General features: G+C 50.4%; 1 protein-coding gene across 6 annotated transcripts in view, besides 3 other annotated features; it reads left to right on the top strand.

The window, feature by feature from the left end:
- Positions 3-19159, top strand: part of UBQLN4 (ubiquilin 4) — a 22552-nt gene continuing 3395 nt past the window's right edge. The window contains exons 1-11 of one of the 6 annotated variants that reach the window (XM_047425666.1): positions 3-207; positions 2008-2095; positions 2474-2691; positions 3248-3510; positions 5142-5300; positions 9578-9803; positions 10888-11027; positions 11565-11648; positions 11814-11929; positions 12130-12316; positions 16671-18502. In XM_047425666.1, the coding sequence (XP_047281622.1) occupies positions 3304-3510; positions 5142-5300; positions 9578-9803; positions 10888-11027; positions 11565-11648; positions 11814-11929; positions 12130-12316; positions 16671-16823 (1272 nt within the window). In that variant the 5' untranslated portion in view covers positions 3-207; positions 2008-2095; positions 2474-2691; positions 3248-3303 and the 3' untranslated portion in view covers positions 16824-18502. The other 5 variants (NM_001304342.2, NM_020131.5, XM_024448469.2 and 2 more) reach the window with 5 other exon arrangements.
- Positions 61-120: a silencer, noted in NCBI's record as "silent region_1416". NCBI's record gives its function as "represses an Ori minimal core promoter by ATAC-STARR-seq in GM12878 lymphoblastoid cells {active_cell/tissue: GM12878}" and the evidence as "EXISTENCE:reporter gene assay evidence [ECO:0000049][PMID:35858748]".
- Positions 211-260: a silencer, noted in NCBI's record as "silent region_1415". NCBI's record gives its function as "represses an Ori minimal core promoter by ATAC-STARR-seq in GM12878 lymphoblastoid cells {active_cell/tissue: GM12878}" and the evidence as "EXISTENCE:reporter gene assay evidence [ECO:0000049][PMID:35858748]".
- Positions 336-1057: an enhancer, noted in NCBI's record as "H3K27ac hESC enhancer chr1:156022535-156023256 (GRCh37/hg19 assembly coordinates)". NCBI's record gives its function as "activates a minimal SCP1, AML or CMV promoter by ChIP-STARR-seq in naive H9 embryonic stem cells {active_cell/tissue: H9 hESC(naive)}" and the evidence as "EXISTENCE:reporter gene assay evidence [ECO:0000049][PMID:30033119]".

The following is a 19159-nucleotide window of genomic DNA, read 5'->3' as shown; positions in this document are numbered from 1 at the left end:
GGGAGTGTTGGAGGCGCAGAAGCCGAGCCGGGCCGGCCGGGCGGGCGGGGAGGAGGAGGAGCCGGGCGGGCTGGCGGGCGGCCGGGTGGCGGCGGCGGCATGGCGGAGCCGAGCGGGGCCGAGACGAGGCCCCCCATTCGGGTCACCGTCAAGACCCCCAAGGACAAGGAGGAAATTGTGATCTGCGATCGAGCCTCGGTCAAGGAGGTAGTACAGCAGGCGGGGGGCGGGGGGAGCGCGGAGGAGGGGTCTGCGAAGAGATGGGGGGCCTCTCTGACGGTCCGGCGTCCCGGAGGGCCCCGGAGAGGAGGGCGGGGGCCGGCTGGGACTCCGAGGAGCTGAAGGCAAGGAGAGGCGGGTAGGGGGCGCCCTGCGAGGGGAGATCTGGGGGAGCGTGGCGCGTGTTGAGGGGCGGGTTTTGCCTTGTGGCCTGGGGGCGTGGTGGAGAGTGAGGAGGGGACACCTTGCACCGGGAAGGGGGAAGGACCCTGGGTTTGAGGGGAGTGTGCCGGAGTGGGGGCCCGGGCTAGGTGCTAACTGAGAGAACGGGCCGGGGGCAGGCGGAGAGCGCCGGCGCCTACTCTGTGCCTCAGAGAACGCCCAGTGTTCTCTGAGCGACGGGGCTGTCGGGGGAGGATTTCCCTGTGCCCAGATCCTTCCCACTCTTTCAAATCGACGTGGTTACATTTGGTTCTCAGCTCTTCTGAGATTTACACGGTGTGCAGTAGGTGCTCAATAAAATCTTGTTGAATGACGGACTGTTGCCTGTGTTCGCCACCCCCTGTGGCCGCTCCATAATTTCACATAGGCGGGGCTTAAGATAGGCCATCTGGTTGGAAGAGAGGGATCTGGAAGCAGCCTCTGCTTAACAAGTGCACTGTTTTTACTTAAAGTGTGTGTTGTGTTTTGTTTTGTGTTGTGTTTTGGAGGGGCTGGTAGAATTTGGGAAGTCTAACTCCATCCTTGCTCCCTCCCTAACCACATAGAATTACTAAATTTCAGAATTTAAATACTGTATGTTCCCTACAAAGCTGAATTTGAAAACGGCTCTCATTGAGAGGCAGTGTGTTTAGTTAAGAGCCTGGACTTTGGTGTCAAGACCTGAGTTCTGGTCTGCCTGGGGCAAGTTACCTTACCTCGCTGATCCTCAGTTTTCTCATCTTTAAAATGGAGATACGGCTGGGCGTGGTGGCTCACACCTGTAATCCCAGCACTTTGGGAGTCTGAGTCTGGTGGATCACCTGAGGTCACGAGTTCAAGACCAGCCTGGCCAACATGGTGAAACCCCGTCTCTACTAAAAATACAATTAGCCAGGCATGGTGGTGTGTGCCTGTAGTCCCAGACACTCGGGAGGCTGAAGCAGGAGAATCACTTGAACCCGGAAGATGGAGGTTACAGTGAGCCAAGATCGCACCTCTGCACTCCAGCCTGGGCTACAGAGCGAGACTCCATCTCAAGATAAAAATAATAATAAAATGAAAATAACAATATACTATATCTTTAACTGGTGAATAGGTAGTGCTCAATAACTGGCATCTATTTGTTGTAGTTGTTAAGAGAATACTGGGAATAGAGAGGAGAGAAAATTGGGTCTCAGAAGGCTGAAGGTCCAAAGCTGTTGAAGGAGTTGGGATGGGAGGCTGCTCTGCCTTACAGAGAACTAGGTGGAGGGACTGAAGCTGGGAGGCAGATAGCAGCAGGGGCTTTCTAGGGTGGGAGACTCTGGGATGGAGCTGAGAGAAGAGCCTCTCACTGGTTCATCTCCTTTGTTAAGAAAGGAGATGCTTATTGCAGCTGGAGGAATGGCGTCGAGACTACAGAAAGGACTTCCCATGACTAGAGATGAGAGCAAGAGAGTGCAGAAGGTGTTGAAAAAGAGTCAGGGTCCCTGGTAGGGGGAGTCCAGGCAGCCTCCACAGTGACCTCTGCCTCTTGATCACAGTTCAAAGAGGAAATCTCCCGGAGGTTTAAGGCTCAGCAGGATCAGCTGGTCCTGATCTTCGCAGGCAAGATCCTCAAGGATGGGGACACACTGAACCAGCACGGAATCAAGGACGGGCTCACTGTCCATCTGGTCATCAAGACCCCTCAGAAGTAAGTTCAGGAGCAGAGCAGATCCAGCTTCTGATTGGGCCTCCCCATCTGATACTTTCTCACTCATTGCTTAACTGTACCCAGAGGGCCTAAGCTGAGGCCCAGGCAGGTAGCTCCTGGATGAATATGATCTCATCTCTAGGGGAAGGGAACCTGATTTACCATTCCCAGAATGCCCTGAAGACAGATAATACTAGCTCCTTTCTCCCTCTGCTGGTTTACTGACTGCCCTCCCGCCATCACCCCACTCCAGCCTCAGGACTGCTCAGGAGGGGTCTTGGGTTAAAATAGTTGTCCCATAGCAAGCACAGAGATTGTCACGGTACCTTCCCTCTTCTAGTGCTCACTCCAACAGGATTCTCCTTTCTCTGTCCTCAGGGCTCAAGATCCAGCTGCTGCCACTGCTTCTTCCCCCTCCACACCTGACCCTGCCTCAGCACCCTCCACCACGCCTGCTTCACCCGCCACCCCTGCCCAGCCCTCCACCTCTGGCAGTGCCTCTTCAGATGCTGGCAGTGGAAGCCGGAGGAGCAGTGGTGGGGGGCCCTCTCCGGGGGCTGGGGAGGGATCCCCCAGTGCTACTGCGTCCATACTCTGTAAGCCCTCAGAGAGGAGAGCACAATCTTGTTTGGGGTTGGGGAGTTGGGGAAAGCCAAGAGGAGGGAGAAACAGGAGTTCCTGCTCCTGGTCTGATGGGGATAGGGGACCCCATGACAGAGTTCCAGACATTGATACTTGAGTCAAGCTGGGGAAGAAACTAGTCTGAGGAGTTCTCAGAGGTGGGGACCATGGCTAAGGGTTAGGAGTGAGGGGAGAAATGGGGTTGGGGATGTGGGGAACCCTAGGTAAAGGGAATGGAAGACCCTGTGAGTCTGGGGAAAAGTTGGATCCAGCAGTAGCCACATGGGCCACTCATTCAACAGACCATTGCTGGTTGCCTTCTCTCTGCTCAGTTCTATGTTTGGCACAGCCTCAGTCTAGTAGGCTCACATTTTTTTGCCAGCAGTGGATCAGGGCCGGGCTGTGGGAATGACAGGAAGAGGGACATGTGAGAAGCATTTGGGGCGTGTCCTGGAGATCTGAATTCAGTGGCTCTGGCTAAGTGAGGACACTGTTCTTGTGGCAGACTGTGACCCTGCCCCCTTCCCACAGCTGGCTTTGGGGGCATCCTGGGGCTGGGCAGCCTAGGCCTGGGCTCTGCCAACTTCATGGAGCTGCAGCAGCAGATGCAGCGGCAGCTGATGTCCAATCCTGAGATGCTGTCACAGATCATGGAGAACCCCCTGGTCCAGGATATGATGTCTAACCCTGATCTGATGCGTCACATGATTATGGCCAACCCCCAGATGCAGCAGTTGATGGAGCGGAACCCTGAGATCAGCCACATGCTCAATAACCCTGAACTCATGAGGCAGGTGAGTATGAGAGGGCTGGAGAGCTGGAGGACACTGGTGCCCAGCCGTGCCCTGCCCAGCCTTTCCTACTTTGTCCTACATTGATTTGTTCATTCGTGTATTCAGCAGTTTTGAACACTGGAGGTACAGGGATGAAAAGACAGGCCTAGCTTTTCAGGAATTCCAGGTGTCAAAGGGAAGTAGGACAAGTAAACCGGCAATTAGAATACAATGTGGCCATTGCTATCAGAAGGATAATCATGGGATCCTCTAGGAGCATAGAGAAGAGCTCCTGACCCTACCCTAAGGCTTAGAGGAGGCCTTAAGAAATGTCACCGAGCTGAGACCCAAAGGAGGAAGACGAACCAGGGGGAAAGAAAGAAGAACATTCAGGGCTGAGGGACAGCAAATATAAAGGCCTGGGAGTGAAAGATAGTAGGTTGTTTGGGGAGCACTGTGGCTGGGCAGGGCCCAGTTGGGAATGGAGAACCAGGGGAGACTGTTGTGATGTTGCTCTTTGGGAGTTCCAGCTCATGGTCCGCTCCACCAGAGGACCAAGGTAGATGATCTTCCCAGCAGGGCTGTGGACACCAGTGCTGGACTCACCAGAAGATAATTTATGTAAGGTCAAGGACTTGTGAGTGTTTTGTTCACTGTCTAGAACAGTGCCTGGTGCGTGGTAGTCATGCAGTAAATATTTATTGAATGAATGAATTACGGAACAAGAGATCAGAGTTCTGGGAAGCTGGGCATATCAGTTATAAAGGAGTCTTAGAAAAGGCAAGTGTGGAGCACATTTGGGAAGGAGAGGGAAGGTATTCCAAGTTGAATGGGAACAAGTAGTTATACTTATTTTTCTGTGATGAACTCCCCCGGGGTTGACATAGCCACCCCTTATTGAGATTGTGCCATTGGCTCCATAGAAGAAAGCCCCCATCTTCAGTGTTTCTCAAGGTTCAGGCAGAGCAAAGACTTGGGGGTGGGAATTACAGGGTGTCAGTAGCTTTATTCCAGCTTGAACGCTTTCCTTCCCCAACTTGCAGTCATTTACCAGGAATCACAGTATGGTCTTGGACAGACCAACCAACCTGGCTTTGAACACTGTCTTCACCACTCAGTGACTGTGTGTCCCAGGGCAGCAAGTCAATTAACATCTCTGAGCCTATTTGCTCATCTGCAAAATAGGGACAGAAATAAACACCTGAGATGGTTATTGTGGAGATTACATGACTTGAATTCCGTAAGCTACTTGGCCCTGTGCCCATATACAGTAGGTTCTCAGTAGATGTTAATTTTCTCTTCTGCCTCCTCCCCTTTCTTTCTGTGTCTCTTCTGACTCAGTTTCCTTGTGCACCCTGACACTTCTTTGGACACTCTGAGCCTAAGGGAGGGAAGCTGCTGCCCTCACTTCAGCTGGGATCATTGTCCTCCACTAGAAAAAGCCAACCAAAATACCCACAGGGAGGCGGGCTTGGAGCCAAGATTACAGTAGAGGAAGGAAGTCCAGTTTACTCTACTCCCTGTCACTGTGGGGCAGTTCCTGGGCCCTGGTCCTGATCCTGATACAGACCCCCCTTCCTCAAGGCCCACCCTTTTCCTAGGTTGGTGCTCCCCTGGTTCCGGGGCCCATTTTGTCTCTCTCCCTTGATCAGACAATGGAGCTTGCTCGGAATCCAGCCATGATGCAAGAGATGATGCGGAACCAGGACCGGGCCCTGAGCAACCTTGAGAGCATCCCTGGAGGGTATAATGCCCTCCGCCGCATGTACACGGACATCCAGGAGCCCATGTTCAGTGCTGCCCGGGAACAGGTGGGATCAAGGGCCAGGGTAGTGGGTTGGGCTGTCTGGGCTCGAGATTCCCTACCCCCACCCCAGGCAAACCTGGGCCTGCTCTTCTTTCTTTCCCCAGTCCCCTGAGGGGTGGGCCTTGGCTTGAAGGCAGTTCTCAACAGTACATATCCGGGGATGGTCCATTTTGGCATGGACAAATATAAGCAGAGGTCCTTGTGGAAGTGGTTGAGGCATAGCATCCAAGGAACTTGACATCCTGACAAACTTCTTGTACCAGGGGCTCAAAGGTCACGTGGCAGGCCTGAGGTCAGACGCCAGCCCTGATACAGCATGTCTCAAGTATGGTCCATGGATCACCTGCATCAGAATCACCTGGGGACCTTGTTGATAATGAGAATCCTGGTCCCCACCTTTGAGCTACTTATTGAATCCATTTCTGGGGTTGGGCCCCAGGATTATACACTTTTAAAAATGCTTTATGAATCCTATTCAAGTACACACAAAAAAATAGATAAAAATGTAACATTCTTTTTTTTTGTTTTTAATCAATGTTGCCCTAACATGTTGCCATATATAATTTCAGTGCCCTTTTGGTTCTTTCTTTCTTTCTTTTTTTTTTTTTTTTTTGAGATGGAGTCTCGCTCTATCGCCCAGGCTGGAATGCAGTGGCGCAATCTCGGCTCACTGTAACCTCCGCCTCCCGGGTTCAAGCAATTCTCCTGCCTTCTCCCTGGTGGCTAAGACTACAGGTACATGCCACCACGCCCGGCTAACTTTTTATATTTTTAGTAGAGATGGGGTTTCACCATGTTAGCCAGGATGATCTTGATCTCCTGACCTCATGATCCGCCCACCTTGGCCTCCAAAAGTGCTGAGATTACAGGAGTGAGCCACCGCGCCTGGCCATGGTTCTTTTTAAAAATTTAATTTTACATTAAACACATTCTATGTTTGTATGTTTGAAAATGCAAAAGTTGGCCAGGCGCAGTGGCTGACACCTGTAATCCCAGCACTTTGGGAGGCTGAGGTGGGCGGATCACGAGGTCAGGAGATCGAGACCATCCTGGCTAAAATGGTGAAACCCCATCTCTACTAAAAATACAAAAAATTAGCCGGGCATGATGGCACATGCCTGTAGTCCCAGCTATTTGGGAGGCTGAGGCAGGAGAATCGCTTGAACCCGGGAGGCAGAGGTTGCAGTGAGCCAAGATCGTGCCACTGCACTCTAGCCTGGGCGACAGAGTGAGACTCCATCTCAAAAAAAAAAAAAAAAAAATTCACAAGTTACACAAAGTAAACAAAAGGGTATTCCAAAAAAGTATGGAAAAGTATACAGGCTAAAAAAAGGTTTACAGAAGGGATCCCTCTGTTTCCATCTCCCAGCCAGCTCTTTTCTACCTCAGTGGTAACTAATGTTGTTAGTATCTTGTTTATTTTCCTAGACATATTTAATATTTGCAAATAAGACATAGGTAGAGTTGTAGCCTTTACAAACCCCTCCCCTCTCCTATTCTTTTTCTTTCCAGAGGTAACTAGTATGCTGAAGTTGAAGTTGGGGTTTATCATTCTGATTCTTTTATTACCTATGTATATGTCTATAAACGTCTATATATTATCATATTTTTAAATATGAGGTGGTACCATGCTGGTCTTATTATTTTAACTTGCTTTTGTTTTGAGACAGAGTCTCACTGTTTCGCCCAGGCTGGAGTGCAATGGCGCGATCTCAGCTCACTGCAACCTCCACCTCCTGGGTTCAAGCGAGTCTCCTGCCTCAGCTTTCTGAGTAGCCGGGACTGCAGGCTTGCACCACCACGCCTGGCTAAGTTTTGTATTTTTTAGCAGACACAGGGTTTCACCATATTGGCCAGGCTGGTCTCGAACTCCTGACCTTGTCATCTGCCTGCCTCGGCCTCCCAAAGTGCTGGGATTACAGGTGTGAGCCACTGCACTTGGCTGCTTTTTTTTTTTTTAATACAACCTTTAAAAATGTTTTGTGTTTTTGGTTTGTTTTGTTTTTTTGAGACGAAGTTTCACTCGTTGCCCAGGCTGGAGTGCAATGGCGTGATCTCAGCTCACTGCAACCTCCGCCTCCCGGGTTCAAGTGATTCTCCTGCCTCAGCCTCCCGAGTAGCTGGGACCACAGGCGCCCGCCACCATGCCCAGCTATTTTTTTTTTTTTTTTGTATTATTAGTAGAGACGGGGTTTCACCATGTTGGCCAGGCTGGTCTCGAACTCCTGACCTCAGGTGATCCACCCACCTCGGCCTCCCAAAGTGCTGGGATTATAGGCGTGAGCCACCGTGCCCGGCCTAAAACTGACAAACTTTTAAAATATTTGTTTCATTTAAAAATGACAATTTATTACAAGTTGGTGGAGCGTAGTGGCGCATGCCTATAATCTCAGCATTTTGGGAGGCTGAGGCAGGTGGATCACCTGAGGTCAGGAGTTTGAGACCAGCCTGGCCAACATGGCGAAACCCCATCTCTACTAAAAATACAAAACTTAGCCAGGTGTGGTGGTGGGTGCCTGTCATCCCAGCTTCTCAGGAGGCTGAGGCAAGAGAATTGCTTGAACCCTGGAGGTGGAGGTTGCAGTGAGCCGAGATTGTGCCTTTGCACTCCAACCTGGGCAGCAAAACGAGACTCCATCTCAAAAAAAAAAAATTATTACAAGTTAACATAAATAACATTATTTTGAAAAATAACTTTATTTTCCAAAACAAACAAAACTGTAGAGGAAAGTATGGACTTGTTTTACATTTTTGTAGTTCTCTTTGATGTCTAGCTTACTACAAGACAGCTGGTTCTCAGATCTGCATTCAGTTTGCAATGTCACATGTCATGTAGACTTTGGAAAACTCCACTGTATCCTCATGAGAGAATAAGAGTGAAAAAGACAAATTCATGTCTTAGAATTATGAAAACAGTTTTAATGCTTGCAGGGGTCCCAGGACCACACTTTGAGAACTGTTGTATTAGAGGAGTATTATAAGCATTAGAATAAATGTGTCAGGCACATAGTAGGTGCTCAATAAATGATGGTTGTTATCACTGTGGGTAGTTCAGGAAAAGAGATTTCGTCCTTAGAGTGTACCAGGAAGAATAAAGCGAGCCCAGAACAAGGTGGGGTGAGGTGCTAGGCAAGTATCAGAACAAGAAATCTGAAACAGGCACAGAGGCTGAAACCATGGTGCATGAACCCTGGCCTGTGAGCTCTGTTATCTGAACAGGATCTGGTGAGGTGAAGGAAACAGCTCAGAGTAGGAGAATCCTTGGTTAGCCCCGGTCCCCATGACCCACTTTCAATGAACAGGAAAAGCAGCTCAATATGAAACCCTACGGTGGGGAGGGGCTGAGGTAGGACCACCTGGGAACTCAGGAAAGAGAGCTGCTGAGCTCTTAGACCACAAGAAAGGCTGAGTAGGGAAAACTGAGTCTGGGACTCCCTCAGCCAGAGCTCTGTGCTAGGTGCTGGAGGGGAGGAGGTTCCGGTGTTGCCTTTGGGAAGCACACCATCCCATGGGGTATGGACCTGAGATATCCTGGGGAGCACAGTGAGGAGCATGGTAGGGCAAGGGGGACCAGAAGTAAACTGAGGCCTGTCCATCTGAAGTAGCCAGTGTGTAGAGGTAGGGTTTGGAGCAGGAGGGGAAAACCTAGAGAGGGCATATTCTGCTGGAGGTGTGTTCTGCTAGGGGCCGCCACTGTGGTGTGCCTGGATGGACAGAGAATGCCAGGTAGGGGACCTGGGGAGTGAGGGAAAGGTTCTGGGGAGTTAGGATTAGTCCAAGGAGGCTGGGGAAAGGGAAGATCGGGGTTCAAGTAGAGAGCCAGGTTTGACAGCCCACTCCCATTAAGCCAGTAGTTAGTTATTGAGCACCTACTAGTGTCGGGGCTGGGGGTGCACAGGCAAATCTGACATTGCCTCTGCCCCTTGAGGTACAGGAACACAAATATTTGGCTACACAATGGGAAAACTGTGTGTAAAGTGCGGTGGGTTACATAGGAGATGATTAGAGACCAAATATTGAAAGCCACCGGGGGGATGGGAAGTTTCCAATTATCTGAGAGGTTCAGTTATCCAGTCACTAGCATCAGCTAGCTCCCACCCTATGGAGCAAGGAAGGAGCTATCCATTGTGGGGCAAAGAACTGAACTGAGGACCTCTAAGGTCTTAGATCTCTCTCCCTTTTCTGGGGAAGGGGAGGCTATTAAGTGAGAGGAGAGAATGGGCCTAGCCCTTGTCCCTGATTTGTTTCAGTCCTTAACCCAAAACCTTTCCCTCCTCCCAGTTTGGCAACAATCCCTTCTCTTCCCTGGCCGGGAACTCCGACAGCTCATCCTCCCAGCCTCTGCGGACTGAGAATCGAGAGCCCCTCCCTAACCCCTGGAGCCCCTCGCCCCCCACCTCCCAGGCCCCCGGGTCCGGTGGGGAGGGCACCGGAGGATCGGGGACCAGCCAGGTGCACCCGACAGTCTCGAACCCCTTTGGGATCAATGCGGCTAGCCTGGGGTCAGGTATGTCCTAGGATGGAAGGAGCTTAGTGGGGTCACCAGGGCAGCCCCTCTGTCCCAGGACTGAATGGGGTTCATACTGCTCCAGGATTTTGAAGACAGAGGTGAGACTATCGAGGCCACAGAGGGGGCTCTGCCGTCTGGGATAGTGGCCGGGTGAGGGCTGGTTCTGGCCATGTCCTGATATCCCTAGGAGTGACCTAAGTAATAGCTCATGAGTAAACCAGGCCCCACTTCCTAAGCTCCATGAGCACCTCTGGTATTATCCAGTGTAAAAGGTTCAGACTGCTGTGGGGAGAGGGGGCTGGAGAGGAATCAAGGCAGACCTGGGGAGAGGCAGATGTGAGGCTGGGGGAAAGGGATGTGCAGGGCTTGCCATGTACAGAAGAACAGGTTATGCACTGCACAACCCTAGAGGATGCTCCATTTATCTGGACTATGACTGTACACATGGCCTGGGGGATGTCTTCAGCAGATGCTCTAATTTCTCTGCACTCTGGGGGATATCTTGATTGGGAAAGTTCCTTCCCTCTGTGTGTTTTAGTTTCCTTATTTGTAAAGTAAGGACTGGAACTTGATCCATGATTTTAAAATTGTGCTCCTGCATCCTGGAAAGGTCTTCATCTCCAGGATGAGGAAGGACCCAATGGGAGAGGCTGCAGCCCTCCTGCCCCAGCTCCAGCCAGACCATTAACACACTTGGTTTCTGAGTGAGATTTAGCATGAGGAAAGGGTCTCTGCTGCTAAGACAAGTTTGATCTAGATGATATTTAATCATTTCTTTCCAAATTGGACATAATTTGAGCTTATGGCAGGAACAGTCCAGAGAGGCATAAATCAGACCCAGTTCCTAGCTGGCTTGTCCTTATCAAGTAAATGGAAAAGGGGCCAGGCCAAAGCAGGGCAAGATGACCTTGGACTTGGGAGAGACTTGGACTCATGCCACAATCCTAGGGTGCCCACTGGACCATTGCTTTTCTGAGTTTTGTAGTCATTCGGTGTCTGAAGTAAGGTAGATTGAAGTGAGGCCTTCGGTTTCCATCTGGACCCTTTCTCTCCTGTTTTCTTTTTTTCCGCCTTGTCCTAGGGATGTTCAATAGCCCAGAAATGCAAGCCCTCCTCCAGCAGATCTCTGAGAACCCCCAGCTGATGCAGAATGTGATCTCAGCACCCTACATGCGCAGCATGATGCAGACGCTTGCCCAGAACCCCGACTTTGCTGCTCAGGTATGAAACCAGCATGAGGAGAGTATTGTTGGGGAGAGAGTTCCTCTTGGTTGGGGGCAGTTTCTTGTGGTCAAAACACTGTGGAGCCAGACTGCCTGGGTTTGCATCCCAAGCTCTGCTGCTTCCCAGCTGTGTGAGTTAAGCAAGTTATTTAGCCTCCCAGTTTCTTTATCTGTAAGATGATAATAACAATAGTTCCTACCTCCTATAGTTGTGAGGATTAAATGAGTTAATACACGTTAAGTGCTTAGAACATGGCGTGTGACAGAGTAAGTTCTGTATACCTGGAAATGTTAGCTGTCCTCATCATCATCAGACCCAGGGCTGAGCAGGCTGACTCCTCATACTCTTCATTACCCAGAGCATAGTTCCATTTCCTCTCACTGTCCCACTTAGGCCTTCAGGATACTTTGAGATCCCCGGAGAAGCTGGCCAGATTTCCTGCAGTGGTAGGGGGTGCCCAGGGAGTCTGAGGCTGTGGGGGAATTCTTAGGGTGAAAAGGCCCAGGTCTCCCCCTGCTACCTTCACCCTGGCAGATGATGGTGAATGTGCCGCTCTTCGCGGGGAACCCCCAACTGCAGGAGCAGCTCCGCCTGCAGCTCCCAGTCTTCCTGCAGCAGGTGAGTGAGGAGCCTAGATGGGTGGAGGTTGAGGGCAAGGGGTAGTCCCTGAAGCCCAATGGGTGGAAATGAAGTTGGGGCAGAGCTTGACTCTGGACTCCTAGTTGAGGTTGTCTCCTCTTTCCTGCCACCTCTTGATGCCTTTCTCTGCTTATTTCCCACCAGATGCAGAACCCAGAGTCACTCTCCATCCTTACCAATCCCCGAGCCATGCAGGCATTGCTGCAGATCCAGCAGGGACTACAGACCTTGCAGACCGAGGCCCCTGGGCTGGTACCCAGGTGAGGGTAGGGGGGCAGGAGGGCAGCAAGGTTCTAGCAACTTCTCCCCTTCAACTCTTCTCTCTGCCACTCTCTCAGCATCCTTTGTGTCTCTGAGGGTCTGTTTTCCTGTTTCTTCCAACTGCTTTTCCTTCTGGATCTCACATTCTCATCCCTTTCTTGGATGCCATCTCCTACCTCTTGGTCTCTCTTGCCTACAGCCTTGGCTCCTTTGGGATATCCCGGACCCCAGCACCCTCAGCAGGCAGCAACGCAGGGTCTACGCCCGAGGCCCCCACTTCCTCACCAGCCACGCCAGCCACATCTTCTCCAACAGGGGCTTCCAGCGCCCAGCAGCAACTCATGCAGCAGATGATCCAGCTTTTGGCTGGAAGTGGAAACTCACAGGTACATGAGGCAGTGGGGGCAGGTGCTGGGAGCACCACTTTGATCCTGGGAGGTTTCAAGGGAAGCAATAGAATAGAGGCAGTAGGGCAAGCTTGGGAGTCAGGTCCTGTTCTGCCACTTGCTAGCCTTGGGCAGGTTACTGATGCTCCCTGAGTTCAGTTTGTGCAGATGTGAAATAGAGATGAGAAGAGTAATGGTACTTACCCGTGCACTACATACTGTTCTAAATGCTTTAGATTTTGGAGCTCATTTACGACTCATTTACCACATTCCTCACAATAGCCTCATGAGAAAGCTATTATTATTATTTCTGTGTTAAAGATGGGGAAAACTGAGGCCCGGAAAGGTTAAGTGGCTTACTCACTTACATAGCTAGTAGATAATGAAGCCAAGACTCAAACCCAGGCATTCCACCTCCAGAATTTACACTATACCATTTCTGCTTATATCAAAGGATCCTTTTGATAATTAAAGCAGCCCCCATCTCTGAGACTCTGGGGAGGGGGATTCTGCGAGGTAACCAAAGCCCTGGGAAAGTCAAGGCCAGGGGCTGGCAGGAGGGGCAGGGATGACCTACCTCGAGTGAGCCTCTTAACCTTTCTCTGACCTCTGTGACTCATCTGGAAAAGCCATTCAACCAAAATGTATGTTTACCCAGCTTTGTGCAAGGCACGAGAGAGCTAAACTAGGTGGTGTCCAGTCCAGGTGCAACCCAAGTTAAATTCTGTGGACTGGCTGGGCGCGGTGGCTCACGCCTGTAATCCCAGCACTTTGGGAGGCTGAGGCGGGCGGATCACGAGGTCAGAAGATCGAGACCATCCTGGCTAACACGGTGAAACCCCATCTCTACTAAAAAATACAAAAAAAAAAAATTAGCCAGGCGTGGTGGCAGGTGCCTGCAGTCCCAGCTACTCAGGAGGCTGACGCAGGAGAATGGGGTGAACTCGGGAGGTGGAGCTTGCAGTGAGCCAAGATGGCGCCACTGCACTCCAGCCTGGGTGACAGAGCGAGACTCCATCTCAAAAAAAAAAAAAAAAAAAAAATGTGTGGACTGTGATAAGAAGCAACAAGGAGCACTGGAAAGGGCTTTCTTTTTTTTTTTTTGAGACAGAGTTTTGCTCTTGTTGCCCAGGCTGGAGTGCAATGGCGCAACCTCTGCCTCCCAGGTTCAAGCCATTCTCCTGCCTCAACCTCCCGAGTAGCTGGGATTACAGGCACGCGCCACCACACCCGGCTAATTTTTTTGTATTGTTAGTAGAGATGGGGTTTCACCATGTTGTCCAGGCTGGTCTCGAACTCCTGACCTTAGGTGATCTGCCTGCCTCGGGCTCCCAAAGTGCTGGGATTATAGGCGTGAGCCACCACACCCGTCCAGAAAGGGCTTTTATACTGCAAGTCAGGGGGCCTTAGTGACTGACTTTCTCTGTGACCCCAGGCAAGTCCTGTCTTTTCTCTGGATCGAACATTGTTCCTTTCAACACCAGGTGGACGGTGCTTGCTGGACTCTTTCTAGCTATAAGAGTCTTTTTTTTTTTTTTTTTTTTTTTTGAGACGGAGTCTCGCTCTGTCGCCCAGGCTGGAGTGCAGTGGCCGGATCTCAGCTCACTGCAAGCTCCGCCTCCTGGGTTTAGGCCATTCTCCTGCCTCAGCCTCCCGAGTAGCTGGGACTAAAGGCGCCCACCACCACGCCCGGCTAATTTTTTGTATTTTTAGTAGAGACGGGGTTTCACCATGTTAGCCAGGATGGTCTCGATCGCCTGACCTCGTGATCCACCTGCCTCGGTCTCCCAAAGTGCTGGGATTACTGGCGTCAGCCACCGCACCCGGCCACTATAAGAGTCTTTTGTTCATAATCAAGGCTTGTGCTTTCCAAATACCCCTTGGGCAAACATTTACAGGAGATAATTAGAGGAATGACAAGAATGAAAAGCCAAGCTAGCCAGGCGGTGGCTCACTTCTGTAATCCCAGCAATTTGGGAGGCCGAGGCAGGCAGATCACCTGAGGTCAGGAGTTCAAGACCAGCCTGACCAACGTGGAGAAACCCCGTCTCTACTAAAAATACAAAATTAGCTGGGTGTCGTGGCGCATGCCTATCATCCCAGCTACTCGAGAGGTTGAGGCAGGAGAGTCACTTGAACCTGGGAGGCAGAGGTTGTAGTGAGCTGAGATCGTGCCATTTTACTCCAGCCTGGGCAACAAGAGTGAAACTCCATCTCAAAAAAAAAAAAAAAAAAAAAAGCCAGGCCAGGAGTGTGGCTCATGCCTGTAATCCCAGTGCTTTGGGAGGCCAAGGCAGGGGACTGCTTGAGGCCAGGAGTTCGAGACCAGCCTGGGCAACGCGGGGAGACCCAGTCTGTAAAAATTTTTTTCTTTTAAAAAAAGTCTTAGTGCAAGCTGGGCATGGTGGCTCATGCCTGTAATCCCAACATTTTGGGAGGCCAAGGCGGGTGTATCACTTGAGGCCAGGAGTTCAAAACCCACCTGGCCAACATGGTGAAACCACGTCTCTACTAAAAATACAAAAATTAGCCGGGCTTGGTGGCATGCACCTGTAATCCCAGCTATTCAGGAGGCTGAGGCAAGAGAATCGCTTCAACCCGGGAGGCAGATCATGCCACTGCATCCAGCCTGGGTGACAGAGCGAGACTCCGTCTCAAAAAAAAAAAAAAAAGAAGAAGACCTAGTGCAGTGGCTCATGCCTGTAATCCCAGCAGTTAGAGAGGCCAAGGCAGGAGGATCACTTGAGACCAGCCTGGGCAACATAGCAAGACCCTTTCTCTGCTAAAAAAATTTTTTTCTTTATTTTTTATTTTATTTTTATTTTTTTGAGATGGAGTCTCACTCTGTCCCCCATGCTGGAGTGTTATGGCACAGTCTCGGCTCACTGCAACCTCCGCCTCCCGGGTTCAAGCGATTCTCCTGCCTCAGCCTCCTGAGTAGCTGAGACTACAGGCTCCTGTCACCATGCCCAACTAAGTTTTGTATCTTTAGTCTCGGGGTATCGCCATGTTGGCCAGTCTGGTCTCGAACTCCTGACCTCAAGTGATCCACCTGCCTCAGCCTCCCAAAGTGCTGGGATTACAGGCATGAGCCACCACGCACTTTTGTTTTTTTAAGATGTACTCTGTCTTCCAGGCTGGAGTGCAGTGGCGCAATTTCAGCTCACTGCACCTCCGCCTCCCGGATTCAAGTGATTCTTCTGCCTCAGCCTCCCAAGTAGTTGGGACTACAGGCATGCGCCACCACACCTGGGTAATTTTTTGTGTTTTTAGTAGACATGGGGTTTCGCCATGTTGGCCAGCCTGGTCTTGAACTCCTGACCTCAGGCAAACTGCCCATCTTGGCCTCCCAAAGTGCTGGGATTATAGGCATGAGCCACTATGCCCAGCCAAAAAAAAATTTTTTTTTAATTGGCTGGGCAAGGTGGTACACACCTGTAGCCCCAGCTACTCAGGAGGCTCAGAGAGAAGGATCACCTGAGCCCAGGAGATAGAGGCTGCAGTGAGCTATGATTCTGCCACTATATTCCAGCCTGGGTGCAAGACCCTGTCTCAAAAAAAAAGGAAATACTTCTCTTTTATAAATAACTGTTGATCAGTGAAACAAAATTAAATAGCTTCTTAACTGGGACCCTTCTCTAGCCTTTCATATGGCTGTACGTGTGATGACTATTAGGAGGGGCCTTGGAGGTCATGCTTAGTATGCATCTTATTTGACCATAGAACATTTGGCTTTTGGAGTGCCTGTTAACATCTCCAGTGTTTATGGAAAGTAATGAGGAATATATGCTGATCTAGGCCTATCAGTTATCTTGAAAATCTAAAAAAGATATCCGCCTGCCATATTATTACACAGTTTTGTTTGTTTGTTTTTTTGTTTTTGTTTTTTGAGACAGAGTCTCGCTCTGTTGCCCAGGCTGGAGTGCAGTGGCGCGATCTCGCCTCACTGCAAGCTCCGCCTCCCGGATTCACGCCATTCTCCTGCCTCAGCCTCCTGAGTAGCTGGGACTACAGGGCGCCCACCACCACACCCAGCGAATTTTTTGTATTTTTAGTAGAGATGGGGTTTCGCCGTGTTAGCCAGGATGGTCTCGATCTTCTGACCTCGTGATCCGCCCGCCTCAGCCTCCTAAAGTGCTGGGATTACAGGCGTGAGCCACCGTACCCGGCCATTACACAGTTATTTAGGACTTGGGACCTAGGCTCCTGGGCCCCCATTTGCAGCTCATCTTCCCTGCCCTCCTGATTGACTCTGAGGATATTAGAGAAGACCTGCTGGTCTTAGAAACCCTTAATTCAAATAGGGCCCCCAAGATTGGTCCTGTGCCCACTTCACAAGGCCTGTCCCCTCCAGGTGCAGACGCCAGAAGTGAGATTTCAGCAGCAGCTGGAGCAGCTCAACTCCATGGGCTTCATCAATCGTGAGGCTAACCTGCAGGCCCTGATTGCCACAGGAGGGGACATCAACGCAGCTATCGAGAGACTGCTGGGCTCCCAGCTCTCCTAATCCCTCGGCCCATGCCTCCTGCCTCTCCCCTCCCTCGATGTCAGCATTCGGTTCTTCTGTCAATCCTTACCCTCTGCAGCTTGTCCTCCCTTCCGTCTTCTCCCTCATCCTTTCCAAACAGCAGGGTGACTTTAGAGGCATGGGCTCCAACCCCTTAGCTCTGTCTGAGAATTATGGTTTTACTGCTACGTCTCTAACAGACTCTTCTCTCCTGGTCTCCTTGAGCAGTGCTACTTAAACAGTTTTCACAGTTTCATTGATTGACTCTACCTCCTTGCCCCACACCACTTTTGCAATCTTTAAACTTTCAGTGGCTGTGCAGAGTCGAGGGAGGAACCAGCTCTCTGGTTTACTGGAACATAGTCTTCCATCTATACCACTAGGGTTTTGTCTTATGTTTACTTTTGGTAACTCTCTTCCTTCTTTTTCTCCCTACCCCCCAACCCCTAGCCCAACCAATGCTAGAATTTCTTGCTCTGAAGGAGGAGCAGGTGAAACAGGTGGTAATTTTCCTTCTCGGCCCCTATTCTGGTTCATTCAGCACTTTTTGGTGGGAACTGTTGGAAATTCCAGGGTAAGGAGGAAGATGCCTGTTCTCCCTGTCTGAAGAGGGAGATGAGACAGCTCTCTGGACAGGAATTAACAAACGCTGGAGCAGCCCAGAGGAAATTCGTGTGAAAGAGGAGGGAATGAGATTATTCGGAGGAAGGGAATGGGGGAGACAGCCTGAGTAAAAGGCTTGGAAGTTGGAATTAACAGTGGGGAGCAGAAGCACTCATAGCTCTTTTAGGCAGAAGAATCCAGGCCCGAGCTGGCAGAAGAGACTTAGAGATGCTAATGGAATTTAAACTGAAAAAAGGAGCCCAATGAAGCTAAGCGCCACGCCCCACAAGGGGTCATATTGGCTTTAGTTCCTCAAGCATATGTGCTTATATGCACACACACACACATTTCCATGGACCCAGGTCTTGCTTGTGTCCCCAGGCACCAGTAGTTTGAGCCCCCCTCAAAAGACATGAAGGGGGTTGGGGTCTGTGTGAGTAGTGGGGAGGTGCATGTGTATCCACATGTGTGCATACACTCTTAAGTTGGGTGGGAAGTGGATTCCTTGTTGGTTTCTGGTTCAGAGTGCTCTCCCACCACCAGAGACAAGTGGGTAAAAAGGTCAGTCCATTGCAGGAATATATATCCGGGAGAGCTAGGTCCCTTGGGGCTCTGGATGCTGGGTAACCCAGAGGTAATGTGGGTACCCTTTCTGAAGCTGTCAGGGCTGTGACTAGCACCCTTATCACCCCTCACTGCCTTGTGGGAATAGTAGAGGGTTTTTTTCCTCCAGAGCCCCTGGCCTTTCAGTTCTTAACTATTTCCCTCCAGGCCAGAAAGTTTTCTTTGAGGAAGGAGAGGAGAGGGTGGCAATGATGCCTTTGATCTGGAATTGGACATTTCTCTGTCAGAGCACAGAGGAGGCTCATATCACCTCTTCCCTCTCCTACTTGGCCCAGCTGCTTGGAGGACCGACCCCATGGCTGAGAATATGACGGCAAGAGGAACAGAGTTTGCTCCAAGTGGGAAAGGGTCCCAAGCAGTCCAGAGAAGATGTCTGTGTGGCTTTCCCTCCCTGCCTCCCCCAGCTCCCACACTGGCCTTTGTAAATAAATGGCGTGGTCTTTGTTGTGAGAGTGTGTTGGCGTTTGTTTTTTTGAGGAAGAAGCTGGCTGAAAACAACTTCTTGGTTTTCCAGGGCAAGAGTTGTGATCTAGAGGAATTTGAAGTTTGGTTCAGTTACTACAGATGTTAAGAAATATTAAAAGTGGCTGAGATCATGCCATTGCACTACAGCCTGGGCAACAAGAGCGAAACTGCATCTCAAAAAAACAAGAAATATTAAAAGGTTTTAGCCTGGCAACATAGGGAGACCTTGTCTCTACGAAAAATTTAAAAATTAGCCAGGCATGGTGGTGTGGGCCTGTAGTCCCAGCTACATGGGAGGCTGAGGCAGGAGGACCACTTGAGCCCAAGAAGTCAAGGCTCCAGTGAGCTGTGATTGCGCCGCTGCACTCCAGCCTGGGAGACAAAGTGAAACCCTGTCTCAAAAGAAAAAAAAATTATATATATATATATATATATATATATATATATATATATATATATAGAAGGTTAAGGGATAACTGATGATGGAAGTATCAGTAATATATGACTTGGGAATGGGGAGGACTGCATTCTTCCATTCCCCATCAGACCATTGGGTATCTGAGATCTCTTCCCCTACTTCCCCATAGGTCAGGTGTGGTAGAGGAAACTGAATTGTAAGATTATTGCCTCCATCCTCTGATCTT

This window comes from Homo sapiens, chromosome 1 (assembly GCF_000001405.40).
Source record: "Homo sapiens chromosome 1, GRCh38.p14 Primary Assembly".
Classification (NCBI taxonomy): Eukaryota; Metazoa; Chordata; class Mammalia; order Primates; family Hominidae; genus Homo; species Homo sapiens.
Note: the sequence above shows the minus strand (reverse complement) of the source record. Positions and strands in the feature narration are given on the sequence as shown.